Genomic DNA, 14,871 nt, shown 5'->3' with positions numbered 1-14,871 from the left:
AATAAAATTTTAGAAATTAGCCAACTTTTTTTTTTAAATCTCATTCTAAGATAAGTAAGTTAGCCTTTGATGCTTCCATTGGTTAGGATCATATTTGGCCTGGCCTGGCTTTTTAGACCTTTTTTTTCTTTTTTTACTATTTATTTAGGTCCCTCAAGACCCATTGAAATTTTATAAGAAGATTTACTTTTGCCACAGTTGCCAGCTTTATTTGCCTTCTACAGAATTTTCTGTATCATCCACCTCACGCCGCATATACCGGTGTCGTAACTGCATTAACCTTCAGAATGAGGCTCAAAAACGAGAATCATTTTTGAAGTACAAATGTTTACTTCAACAGCTCTACTATACAGAAGCTGATTATGAAGATGATTCTAAAATTGCTTTCTTGATGCAGGTATGGTCAATAAGGGGTGCCAATTATAGCTGAAGCTTGTCAAGGAGGCTATCTTGCAATCTTATGTATGTTTGTGTGTGTGTGTGTGATTGTTTAATGACTCTCTATTCCACTAGACTGTAAGCTCTGTGAGGGCAGGAGTATGCTTTTTTTCCCTCCTGCTCACCATTATACCTCTATAACCTAATACAGTACCAAGTTTTTATTTAAGGCCCTCAATATTTGTTGAATGAATGAATGACTTTTACAGAAACTGATGTTACATATACACATACTAGTGTTTACGAATAACAGTAATAATTAGTGTAAACCAAATGTGACCATAATGGTAAATAACACCAAAAGTGAAAGCTAAGGCTTATAGAAAGTAAAAAAAAAAAAAAACCTTAGGGAAAGGCTTTGATACTTGTCTATGTAAAGTGTTGATATGATACCACACAACTGGAAAGTTTCTGGCCAGAGTTCTTTTGGATGAATCATTGCATTGGATCATTGACCCTACGTAATCTGCTTCTCGTAAGAACTTCTAGCTCTGTGAGAGGGTGGAGCCTGTGAGATCAGGAATTCTGACCTGAATTCCTAACTTAACCACTACTTCGGTCTCTTTGGTTATTCCATGTCTTCTATTGGGTTTAGGCCAGAGGATAGTCTGTGTCTCTACAAAATAAAAACAAATTCCTGACACTGTTTGGACTTAGGTAAGCAAGTGAGAAAACAGAAGGACTTACTTGTTGTTGATATGGCTACCCAACATTAGCCACTTATTAATAAAAGTATATTATAGAGCACAATTGACCTCATTAATGATATTTGTGTTCACAGACTGTCAAATAAGGGCAAATTTTCTGTAAATTAGTTACTAATTAAAATGAACTAAATTGTATTTAATACCAAATAGGAAAGTAGGCACTACTATGAATAGAAAACTTTATAGAGATTAAAAAAAAGATACCAAATGTGATGTGCTTTGTTAAAAAATTCTTCTAAATCCATAGCTTTCAAACTTTTAAATCTCAATCTATAGTAAAAATGTATTTTTATGACAACCTGATATAGGCATGCATGATAATTCTCAATACTCAGTACCTATATGGCTTTACACACTTTATTGAGTTAATCAGCACAAAAATCCTATCAAAATAGGCATTATTTCCATTCTGCAGGTGAGGAAAGGGAAGCACTGAGTGGTTAACTAACTTGTCCAAGTTTACGCTACTAAGTACCAGCACCAGGATTGAAAACTAGGCAGTCTGATTCCCAGCATCCGTACATGTAAACACATGCTGTTCTGCCTCAGAAATAAAAGTTTCCAAAATAGTGTTTATCTTTACCCCTATGGATGTACTCTGATATTTTCTATTCAATCTCAGTCTACTTATTCTGATTTCCATTTGGAAAACTTTGGTATCACCCAAGAGGTAGCAACCCACAGTTTGAAAAGCACAAATTAAAATGATTACATATTTTGTCCAATAGAATGAATATTTTGTTAATAAATTTGATGTTTATTTCAGCTTAAATTCTTATTTGCTACTTTTATTCAGGAATTATTGACATGACAGATGTATATTTCCTTGTAGAGAATCTTAGATGTACTAGGGCTTTAATGTAAGTCACCAAGAAGTGCTGGCTCAATATTCCATGTTGTATTAGTCAGATTTCTCCTGAGAAACAGAACCAATAGAAAATGTTATACATATATGTTATATATATATACATATAAGGAGATTTGTTACAAGGAATTTGCTCACATAATTGTGGAGGCTGGTAAGTCTAAAACCTAAACAGCTGATGGCCCAGTTCAAGTCTGATGACCAGCAGGCTGCTATAGAGCCAGGAGGAGCCAGTGTCTCAATTCAATGGCCATTAGGCAGAAACAGTCTTCCTTACTTGGGGACAGGGTGAACTTTTTGTTCTATTCAGGCCTTCAACTGATTGGATAAAGCCCACTCACATTATGGAAGACACTCTGCTTTACTCAGTCTACTGACTTACTTAAATGTTAATCTCATCCAAAACTACCCTCACATAAACACCAGAATACCGTTTGACCAAATATCTGGGTATCCGGTGGCATCATCAAGTTGATGTAAAATCAACCATTACACATATTGAATGAAAAAATTCTAGGGGAGCATTGTAACCTTTCAGATAAGGATAATCTCCATTAGATGTGATTTAATTTCAGTACCGTATCTATGTAGGGTTTTGGTCTATTACTTTTCCAATGTCTAGGATTAGCAGACAAATATGAGTGTCCAGTAGCTTCCCCCCCCTTGTAATTGGTGTAGTTTTGATTAATATTTATTTCAGTAATAGTATTTGAGGCATAATTTGAATGTTTGAACATTCTCATAAATAGTAAATCTTGTGGACAACAGCAAAGATTAGCATATGTTAAATGTGAACATGATGCCATGTAAAATGAAAAGGTGAAAGTTAATATATATAAAAAGTAAACATTCTGCTTAGACAAGAGATTTGAGTGTTGTACTAGTCACCTCGTTTATCTGTAATGCATACAAATACTGCCTAATATAATAGGCAATAGTATTGCTCTGTTACTGCAAAAATTTCAAGTACAATGACTACTTGAAAGGTAGAAAGCTCTTAGAGACTGTCAACCACACTTATGTGCACATTTGACATTTACATGCAAATAAACACGTTATTCTGTATGATACAATTTCAAAATTATTAGTACAGTTGAGCAACTAAATTAAAAACAAAAATGTAAACAAGATGCATTTTGAATGTAAGTAAAATATATAAAACATTGAATTTTAAAGGTCTATAAATTTATTTTTCATAGCAGCTGTGTACAGAGTATTGTCTTTTTTAGCATTAAGTAAAAGCTAGAATGCATTAGTTGAGCTTAATATATTGAATTACCAATTTATGAAATACTGTTGTAGCTGATGATGACAGGTTCTTTTTGTTTTTTACTTTGGCAGATTGTTTAGGTTTTGTGTACTCATTTTACAGAAAATATTTCTGCTCTCACACTTTTTCACAGAAGCTTTTTTAAAAAATATTCTTTTTACATGCTTATACTTTGTTGAGTTTGTCCGTCTCTGGCAATTCTAAATTTATAATGCAGACCCCATGATAAAAAGTCATTCCAAGAGTTTTAGCTGATAAGATTTACGTTTTTTAAAAAGTTTTAAACAGCTATTTCATTACCCCTCTTTTTGATTAAAACAACCAAGTCTTTTAATTAACACTAAGTGAATTACTTATCTTTATTAAATCTCAACTTCCTGTGTTTGCTTCAGCAGCCCATATACTGAAATTGGAACCATATAGAGAAGATTAGCATGGCCCTTGGACAAGGATGACATGCAAACTTGTGAAGTGTTCCATATTAAAAAAAAAAAATCTCAGCTTCCTCATTTGTAAAATGGCAGTAAAAGGTTTTAAAAGGTCCCTACAATGGCCCTGAAATTAAGATGGTACTTACTAATGAATTTTAAAGATCATTCAATACCATATGTTTATTATGGTAACATTATAGTATTATTAAGATTATATTCAGGTAAAATTAGCATACTGAAATGAATTTATACTGCTTACTCTGGTTTAGAGATGGGGACGCAACTGTGAGACTGATAATGTAGTTTAGGCAAAATGAACAGAAGTTTAGTGAAAAATAAGGGGCTATGTGTCATTGAAACCTAGTGAATAATAATTCACTTAAAAATACTCTATAATTTAATTATTTGCTCAAGTAATATAATAATCTTAAACAAATTTAAACTACATTGTTTTTAAAACTTGCTTTGACATGCAGCTACAAGACATTCAGTACCTGACAGAGAACATCTGGGCGTCCCAGTCAGTCCTCAGTGCTTGCGACAATCTCAGTGATCTGGTCATGGTCAGATGGAATAAATCCCTGGAGTGGTCCCCCTGGAACTGCATTCTTCTTACCAAAGATGAAGCAGCTGCTCATCTCAAGCTAACAAGTATTGAAGAGGTAAGAAAGTTGAATTTTATTTGGGAAGTTAATTTAATCATTGGAATTATTAGCGATAACTGGACTGCCTTCTAATATATTCCATGCTTAAATACTTCCATCAGATTAAGAAACAGAACTTATGGATTAACAACAAAAAAATTTATGGATGGCATATATGGCACAGATTAAATAAAAGGTATATATAAGAGATTTGAACATATTACAAGTCCTAAACATCATACCAGTCTCTCCTAATAGTAAGTTTAAGCACATTCCACGGTAAATTCCATGAAGGCAGTGATTTTGTTTGGCTTATTTACATCTATTTCTCTAATACCTACAATACTGCCTGTCACAGAATGGAGTTTATAAGTATTTGTTGAATGAATAAATGTGCATTACCACCAGATAGGTATTATGGAACCCAGAATCTGTCCTTCTTTGATTAATTATCATGAGTCTGCTTAAAAACACCCAACTCTCAAATTTTGTTCATAATTTTGTGCTCTAAATAGCAATCATACTGATGGGGTGTAGTTCTGATGCTCCATTTTTCATTTGCTTCCAACTTGCTGGGAGTGGAGCAAGCACTGTAAACATTAAATGCCATTTACTGTAATTTTAGTAACTTACATGATGCAATCTGTAAAACATTTTGATGGGTAAGTTGAGGGACTCCTGAAGAGTTCGTAGAGAGCTCCATTTACACTAGGTCCAGGATCCCGAGAGTTAATACTGATTCTCTGCATTCTTTAATTCCACACAAGGTGTCAGCTAAAGGAAAGTAAAGAAATGACAAAATGCAGTAGTCGTTTAAAATAGTGTGATTCCCTGTTTGTTTTTTTTCAGTGGAACAAGGGGTGATGAATATAAAGATAAGAAACTAGCTAAAGTTTTAGTTTTTAAATATTTTTTTAGTTTTAAGAAGCCAGGCTAAGAAAAATTTCACTCTAGGGATTGAAAGAAAAGGTAGCAATAAGTTGAAGCTGTATTAAATGTTATATTTAGTAAACTAAGCTGCCTCATAAATATTTAATCACAGGAAGCATAGTCAATACTAGCAATATCATTTCATCTAGGACCCATGATGAGATTGAAGTTCATTCCCAAAGCTGATATTCCAGTGCTTCTTCAATTAATCCACACAACTCCCTTTGTGCATTTAATCAAATTACTGCAGTATCAAATTAAATGTTCTATTCACATGCATTTCTAATTTAGAATGCCAGTCTTATCGAATTTCTGTAAAGGGCACCAAGATTTGCAAGCAGACAAACTGGAAAAACATTTGCCTTTTTTATGGTTTTGGGCTGATACAATCTTTTAACTATTAACTTTCAGCCCAGTTAAAGAGTAGTTTATATCTTGCAGAAAGATGGAGCATTTTCAGAATTTTCTTAATGTTCAGAGATATTTGCTTTCTTAAGAAGTTAAAAAAATACTTGCAAGTTAATATGAAACAGGTATAGGAAACGTGGAAAAACACTTTCGTTAATGTGAACTTTAAGTGGAGCAGATTGATCTCTCCTTGTGTGCACACTGGCCAAAGTAGGAACAATCATGGACTTAAAATCAGTAATCCTGACCCAGTTAACTCAAATCTCTGTCACTGACAACTTTACATTAAAACCTTCCCTCTTTGCTTCATAAATTTTTAGAAAGATTAGCTAAATAAGTGGAATCAGTAAAGAGGATAAAAGCAGCTCTGGCTCTGAATTCTAGCTTTACCATTCATGAGCTGGGAGAAATTGGACAAATTTGTGAATGTCTCAATGACCCAGCTTTCTCGTCTATAAAAAAGAGATAATGGTATCTCATCATAGGGAAGCTTTGAGTAGGCCATTATTTAAAGCTTTCTGCATAGTTTTTTTTGGCATGAATAAACTTAGGTAGTAACTATGAAAGCACTTTAAAAATTTTTGATGCATTTTATTTTTAATTTTAAAGCAATATATTATTGGCTTAGAATCTGAACAGAATAAAAAATGTAATGTAGAAAGTAAAGGTCTCAGAGGTTGAGGGAACAGGGAGAGATTTGTTAAGGATACAAAAATTATAGCTAGATGGGAGGAGTGAGTTCTAGTACTGTTCTGTGGCACTGTAGGTTGTCTATAGTTAATTACAATATATGGTTTCAAATAGCTAGACGCAGCATATCGAATGTTCCCAGCACAAAGAAATGATAAATGTTTGAGATGAATATGCTAATTACTCTGATCATGATATATGTATCATCCCATCACTATGTACCCCGTAAATATGTACAATTATTATCAATTTAAAAAATTTAAAAAACGACTGAATGAATAAATAAAGGGAGGCAAATAGACAAATCTCCCATGTAGAATTCCAAATAATTTATGTAGATACTCTCCACTCTTAAGGAGATGGAGAATAACTCTCTACCCTTTAAATGTGGGCTGTACATAATAACTCCTTTCCAAAGACTATATTATGGATGGAAGGGGAGGACCTTTACAGTAGAGAAACTTGACAAACACTACCTCAGCCAGGTAATCAAGATTAACAGCAGCAGTGCTGTCATGCTGATGGTGTGTACCCTTGATATGATGTGAGGAGAAGGGCACTTCACCCCTGTGGTCTTCCTCCCCAAAACCCATCCCTTCAGTCTAATAATAATGAAGAAAACACAGGACAAACCCAGATTGAGACACATTCAGGAAAATGTGGGTGTGGGGTATATGGGACCTTTCTGTAATATTCTTAGAACTATTTGTACACCCAAAGAATTTGTGAACATAGTTTAAAACCATCACATGGCTATTTCAAGAGAATGGACCTTATTTCAATGGGAAAAAAGGTCTCTTGATGTCCACCCATCCCTATCTCCATGTTGCAATGATAACTACTATTTCTTAGGTATATAATAATCTATTGAAATCCTTCTGGAAGTTTTCTATGTGTATGTAAGTATATATACTTTTACTGTAGCAGGAATTTCATATTAAATGACTCTGAGACTTAGTTTCTTTGCTTTACTTAACAATATAAATAATATAATATGGAAATATATTCAGTTATTTAAGAGTTACTTATTAGTGCCTTGAACACATATATCATAATTTATCTCATCTTTAATAATTTATAGTACTGTAAAGGCACCTTGAAAACCTATAAAGTTCTGTACATGTGTAAGTTAATATAGCATAATAAAGTGTGTTAGTTTTTCTTGAATGAAATATGGGCTAAGAAGTGGTAGAAACAAAGTTAGATTAGCTCAAAAGATGAATATTTTAACCTAGTAAATTTTTCTGTTAAGAGGAAATTTTAATAAGCCCAGGATACTCCTATATAATGTTTTCTGCTCTTTTGGTCCTTTCACCCAGGACTTTCTTTTATCTTTGATTTGACCCTCTGAAGAGACCTTTATTGAGGGAATGTCTTATTCTCAGAAAATAAATTTTAGGAAGAAGTATAGGTAGTATTTGTGATTTGATTGAAAAGAGGGCCAATTAAGATTAATAGGTAATAGATTATATTTATTAATTTAACCAGAATTTACTTTTGAATGTGCCAAATACTGTACTAAGTAATTACAGAGAAACAAGAAAATTTAATGAATATAACTTTTTGTTGTCTCAGTTGCATTTAGGTTCAGCTACAAGAACAGAAAAAGCAATTTATAATGATTTAATCAAATGTGGGTTTAGTTTTCTTATGTAACAAGAAAGTTCAAAGGTTGGCAGTTTGGGGCTAGTATGGTGGCTCCACCTTGTTCTCAGAAATTCAGGCCATCTCACTTTTTCCTCAGCCATATTTAATCTTCAGCTTTCTCTCTCATGCTTGGTGGGCTCTTAGTGATAGGATAGCTAGTTCATCTTCTTCATTACATGTACCTCTCAGTAATGGCAAAAGGCTAGAGGTGCTTGATAGGTGAGTCTTCCCACTCTCAAAAGTCCCTTTCAAAGGCTTTATTCAATTATATATATATAATTATATAAGGTTATATATATTGTGTATAATTAAATAATCTTGGAAGATATTTAGTTATCTCCTTAGATTCTTCTTGGTGGTGACAGTTTCTCAGACTTCCCTTGTTTTGTTTTGTTTTTATTTTTGTTTTTTCTCACCTCAATATCTATAACATTAATAATATATATATATATATATATATTCTAACTAGATACCCCCAGTTAGAATAAGGGCTAAGAAAGCTAGACACATCACACCCTATACAAAATCAGGCCTCTGGCTCAAATGGGAGAAAGAATGAATATTGAGTTGATAACTAGCAGTGGTTTAAACTTAGAGAAGTCAGAGGGAGAGTTGGGGAAAACTTCCAGGTTAAAGTATCATAGGAGCTGAGTCGTGAATGATGATAGACAACGTGAGAAAAATAAAGGTAGTCTGGGATGAAAGAATTGACAAGCAAAGGCACCGAGGCATGACAGTATTTTTACCTGGCAAAATATATCTGTGATATTTACTAGAATTTGATTTTTTTCTTTGCAGGGATATGAACGCTCATTTATTCACAAGATCAAACACAAACATATCCTGGCTAAGAACTATTTTTCTCAGGTTCCAGTGCTGGCTTCATTTATACTTGATGATGGTGAAATTGATGAGATCAGATGGAAGTATCACTCAGACACAACACCTAAGATTATAGAATCCCAGAGGCCTCCTCATTAGGTGATCCAGGAGTATTTGTTTGATGATCGGCATTTTGTTCACTGCTAATAGGGTAATACAGAGGTCACAGAGTATGGAAATGGAATTTAATCTGTTTATTGATTTTGTTTTTTGTTTTTCATAGTATTTTGAGTTATATAAAGAGAAAACATTTCTATATAAGTAAGTATTCTTTGTTAGGAAGTTGGTGCTAAATTGAAATGCAATTTTGTTACTGAAATTAATATTTTGGGGTAAAGAAAACATTTTAAAATGTGTTTTCACATTAAATTTTTTAAATTTTTTCAAGTATATTAGAGTTAAAATCTAACAAACAGCCAAATAAAAACTAGACAACTTTCAAGTTATTTATTTTAGATAGAATGTAGTTATAGGAAGCTAATCAGTATGTGGAGGGGAGGAAACATTATAAAGTGCTCTTTCTTGAAAACTTCTTTAAGTAGGATAAAAAAATTTATATTTTAGTATAGGCATTTGAATCTTTGCAGTTTATCGTCTGCTTTCACCTTCCATCCTTCTCATAATCCCAATAAAACAACACTTGAAACTATTTATAAATAAACAAAAAACCTTCATTCTGGGTAAACAATGGAGCTATTAGCATATGCAAGAAAAACTCCCTGTGGGCAATGGTGAAACTATAAGAAGAATAAACTGGTTAAATAAACCATAACAACGCCCTTCTCCAATAAACCAAAGGAGTGACCTTGACCACATATAAGTTAGGGACCTACAGTGATGAACAATGGTTTGCCAGTCAGTCTTAACAGGAAATGGATGGCACACTCGAAATAGCTTAAGCCAAGGAGAGTTTATTTACAAAGGGCCTTATTATAAGGTGTGGGTAGTGTGTAGGGAAACTAAAAGAATAGTGCAGGAACCCAGGGCTAGTATCAGACAGGCTATCTCTCCCTTTAGTCTCAAATGAACTTGGGGAGAAAGTCTGAGAACCCAGGAAGAGTGTAAAGAAGATAACTGAAAGGATCAATGACCAGCTGTAAAGGGAACGGCCAGGCATAGGGGAATCTCATGAACTAGAGAAATATACAATTTCATACTTCTTCCTTTCTCCAATGTCCTGCTTGGGTTTCCCGCTGGCCAAACCCAAAAGGAAAGCAGAAGGGGTAGGAGTCAGTTGACATAATTTTTAGGGCTTCAAGGCAAAGAGCAGAGTATGTAAGGGGAAGAGTAGATCTGGAGGGCTAAATAGAAAGTATCCAAATGGAGAAAGAATTAAAAGTGAACATCTATAATCAAATAGCAATATTTTACTCACTATCACACACAACATAGTTATATATACATAAAACATATGATTTTTCTCCTAATTCCAATCAGCAATTAATGAGGCTCTTCTCTCAAGTTTAGTTATCCAGTTATCAAGTTTAGTTATCAAGAACTTTTAAATATTTGTTCTATATAAATATTTGACAACATTTCAGCCACACATTTTGTAGGATAGCTAAAATTTTTCTTTACTTAGCCAGAGCACAGCACATGGCAGTTTTTAAGAAAGTAAACATCAGGGCGGGGGGAGGAGCCAAGATGGCCGAATAGGAACAGCTCCGGTCTACAGCTCCCAGCGTGAGCGACGCAGAAGATGGGTGATTTCTGCATTTCCATCTGAGGTACCGGGTTCATCTCACTAGGGAGTGCCAGACAGTGGGCGCAGGTTAGTGGGTGCGCGCACCGTGCACGAGCCGAAGCAGGGCGAGGCATTGCCTCGCTCGGGAAGCACAAGGGGTCAGGGAGTTCCCTTTCCTAGTCAAAGAAAGGGGTGACAGACAGCACCTGGAAAATCGGGTCACTCCCACCCAAATATGCGCTTTTCCGACAGGCTTAAAAAATGGCGCACCAGGAGATTATATCCCGCACCTGGCTCGGAGGGTCCTATGCCCACGGAGTCTCACTGATTGCTAGCACAGCAGACTGAGATCAAACTGCAAGGTGGCACCGAGGCTGGGGGAGGGGCGCCCGCCATTGCCCAGGCTTGCTTAGGTAAACAAAGCAATCTGGAAGCTCAAACTGGGTGGAGCCCACCACAGCTCAAGGAGGCCTGCCTGCCTCTGTAGGCTCCACCTCTGGGGGAAGGGCACAGACAAACAAAAAGACAGCAGTAACCTCTGCAGACTTAAATGTCCCTGTCTGACAGCTTTGAAGAGAGCAGTGGTTCTCCCAGCACACAGCTGGAGATCTGAGAACGGGCAGACTGCCTCCTCAAGTGGGTCCCTGACCCCTGACTCCCGAGCAGCCTAACTGGGAGGCATCCCCCAGCAGGGGCAGACTGACACCTCACACGGCCGGGTACTCCAACAGACCTGCAGCCGAGAGTCCTGTCTGTTCGAAGGAAAACTAACAAACAGAAAGGACATCCACACCAAAAACCCATCTGTACATCACCATCATCAAAGACCAAAAGTAGATAAAGCCACAAAGATGGGGAAAAAACAGAGCAGAAAAACTGGAAACTCTAAAAAGCAGAGCGCCTCTCCTCTTCCAAAGGAACGCAGTTCCTCACCAGCAACAGAACAAAGCTGGATGGAGAATGACTTTGACGAGCTGAGAGAAGAAGGCTTCAGACAATCAAATTACTCCGAGCTATGGGAGGACATTCAAACCAAAGGCAAAGAAGTTGAAAACTTTGAAAAAAATTTAGAAGAATGTATAACTAGAATAACCAATACAGAGAAGTGCTTAAAGGAGCTGATGGAGCTGAAAACCAAGGCTCGAGAACTACGTGAAGAATGCAGAAGCCTCAGGAGCCGATGCGATTAACTGGAAGAAAGGGTATCAGCGATAGAAGATGAAATGAATGAAATGAAGCGAGAAGGGAAGTTTAGAGAAAAAAGAATAAAAAGAAACAAAGCCTCCAAGAAATATGGGACCATGTGAAAAGACCAAATCTACGTCTGATTGGTGTACCTGAAAGTGACGGGGAGAACTGAACCAAGTTGGAAAACACTCTGCAGGATATTATCCAGGAGAACTTCCCCAATCTAGCAAGGCAGGCCAACGTTCAGATTCAGGAAATACAGAGAATGCCACAAAGATACTCCTCGAGAAGAGCAACTCCAAGACACATAATTGTCAGATTCACCAAAGTTGAAATGAAGGAAAAAATGTTAAGGGCAGCCAGAGAGAAAGGTTGGGTTACCCTCAAAGGGAAGCCCATCAGACTAACAGCGGATCTCTCAGCAGAAACTCTACAAGCCAGAAGAGAGTGGGGGCCAATATTCAACATTCTTAAAGAAAAGAATTTTCAAAACAGAATTTCATATCCAGCCAAACTAAGCTTCATAAGTGAAGGAGAAATAAAATACTTTACAGACAAGCAAATGCTGAGAGATTTTGTCACCACCAGGCCTGCACTAAAAGAGCTCCTGAAGGAAGTGCTAAACATGGAAAGGAACAATTGGTACCAGCCGCTGCAAAATCATGCCAAAATGTAAAGACCATCGAGACTAGGAAGAAACTGCATCAACTAACGAGCAAAATAACCAGCTAACATCATCATGACAGGATCAAATTCACACATAGCAATATTAACTTTAAATGTAAATGGACTAAATTCTCCAATTAAAAGACACAGACTGGCAAATTGGATAAAGAGTCAAGACCCATCAGTGTGCTGTATTCAGGAAACCCATCTCACGTGCAGAGACACACATAGGCTCAAAATAAAAGGATGGAGGAAGATCTACCAAGCCAATGGAAAACAAAAAAAGGCAGGGGTTGCAATCCTAGTCTCTGATAAAACAGACTTTAAACCAACAAAGATCAAAAGAGACAAAGAAGGCCATTACATAATGGTAAAGGGATCAATTCAACAAGAAGAGCTAACTATCCTAAATATATATGCACCCAATACAGGAGCACCCAGATTCATAAAGCAAGTCCTGAGTGACCTACAAAGAGACTTAGACTCCCACCCATTAATAATAGGGGACTTTAACACTCCACTGTCAAGATTAGACAGATCAACGAGACAGAAAGTCAACAAGGATACCCAGGAATTGAACTCAGCTCTGCACCAAGCAGACCTAATAGACATCTACAGAACTCTCCACCCCAAATCAACAGAATATACATTTTTTTCAGCACCACACCACCCCTATTCCAAAATTGACCACATACTTGGAAGTAAAGCTCTCCTCAGCAAATGTAAAAGAACAGATATTATAACAAACTATCTCTCAGACCACAGTGCAATCAAACTAGAACTCAGGATTAAGAATCTCACTCAAAACCGCTCAACTACATGGAAACTGAACAACCTGCTCCTGAATGACTACTGGGTACATAACGAAATGAAGGCAGAAATAAAGATGTTCTTTGAAACCACCGAGAACAAAGACACAACATACCAGAATCTCTGGGACGCATTCAAAGCAGTGTGTAGAGGGAAATTTATAGCACTAAATGCCCACAAGAGACAGCAGGAAAGATCCAAAATTGACACCCTAACATCACAATTAAAAGAACTTGAAAAGCAAGAGCAAACACATTCAAAAGCTAGCAGAAGGCAAGAAATAACTAAAATCAGAGCAGAACTGAAGGAAATAGAGATACAAAAAACCCTTCAAAAAAGTAATGAATCCAGGAGCTGGTTTTTTGAAAGGATGAACAAAATTGATAAACCGCTAGCAAGATGAATAAAGAAAAAAAGAGAGAAGAATCAAATAGATGCAATAAAAAATGATAAAGGGGATATCACCACCGATCACACAGAAATACAAACTACCATCAGAGATTACTACAAACACCTCTACACAAATAAACTAGAAAATCTAGAAGAAATGGATAAATTCCTCAACACATACACTCTCCCAAGACTAAACCAGGAAGAAGTTGAATCTCTGAATAGACCAATAACAGGAGCTGAAATTGTGGCAATAATCAATAGCTTACCAACCAAAAAGAGTGCAGGACCAGATGGATTCACAGCCAAATTCTACCAGAGGTACAAGGAGGAACTGGTACCATTCCTTCTGAAACTATTCCAATCAATAGAAAAAGAGGGAATCCTCCCTAACTCATTTTATGAGGCCAGCATCATCCTGATACCAAAGCCAGGCAGAGACACAACCAAAAAAGAGAATTTTAGGCCAATATCCTTGATGAACATTGATGCAAAAATCCTCAATAAAATACTGGCAAACCGAATCCAGCAGCACATCAAAAAGCTTATCCACCATGATCAAGTGGGCTTCATCCCTGGGATGCAAGGCTGGTTCAATATATGCAAATCAATAAATGTAATCCACCATATAAACAGAACCAAAGACAAAAACCACATGATTATCTCAATAGATGCAGAAAAGGCCTTTGACAAAATTCAACAACCTTCATGCTAAAAACTCTCAATAAATTAGGTATTGATGGGATGTATCTGAAAATAATAAGAGCTATCTATGACAAACCCACAGCCAATATCATACTGAATGGGCCAAAACTGGAAGCATTCCCTTTGAAAACTGGCACAAGACAGGGATGCCCTCTCTCACCACTCCTATTCAACATAGTGTTGGAAGTTCTGGCCAGGGCAATTAGGCAGGAGAAGGAAATAAAGGCTATTCAATTAGGAAAAGAGGAAATCAAATTGTCCCTGTTTGCAGACGACATGATTGTATATCTAGAAAACCCCATTGTCTCAGCCCAAACTCTCCTTAAGCTGATAAGCAACTTCAGCAAAGTCTCAGGATACAAAGTCAATGTACAAAAATCACAAGCATTCTTATACACCAACAACAGACAAACAGAGAGCCAAATCATGAGTGAACTCCCATTCACAATTGCTTCAAAGAGAATAAAATACCTAGGAATCCAACTTACAAGGGATGTGAAGGACCTCTTCAAGGAG

General features: G+C 36.3%; 1 protein-coding gene and 1 pseudogene across 12 annotated transcripts in view; both read left to right on the top strand.

Annotated features, from left to right (window-relative positions):
- IQUB (IQ motif and ubiquitin domain containing) overlaps window positions 1-9,561 on the top strand; it is an 82,403-nt gene extending 72,842 nt beyond the window's left edge. For 10 of the 12 annotated variants that reach the window (NR_104245.2, XM_017011772.3, NM_178827.5 and 7 more), the window contains 3 exons: window positions 149-397; window positions 4,188-4,373; window positions 8,829-9,561. Coding sequence is in view for 10 of the 12 variants with exons in the window: in XM_017011772.3 (XP_016867261.1) it covers window positions 149-397; window positions 4,188-4,373; window positions 8,829-9,011 (618 nt within the window). In the remaining 2 variants the exon portion in view is untranslated. The other 2 variants (NR_104244.2, XM_005250162.6) reach the window with 2 other exon arrangements.
- Window positions 3,660-3,766, top strand: RNU6-296P (RNA, U6 small nuclear 296, pseudogene; annotated as a pseudogene).
- Window positions 9,562-14,871: the final 5,310 nt, after the last annotated feature.

The sequence above is a fragment of the Homo sapiens genome, chromosome 7 (genome assembly GCF_000001405.40).
Source record: "Homo sapiens chromosome 7, GRCh38.p14 Primary Assembly".
Taxonomy (NCBI): domain Eukaryota; kingdom Metazoa; phylum Chordata; class Mammalia; order Primates; family Hominidae; genus Homo; species Homo sapiens.
Note: the sequence above shows the minus strand (reverse complement) of the source record. Positions and strands in the feature narration are given on the sequence as shown.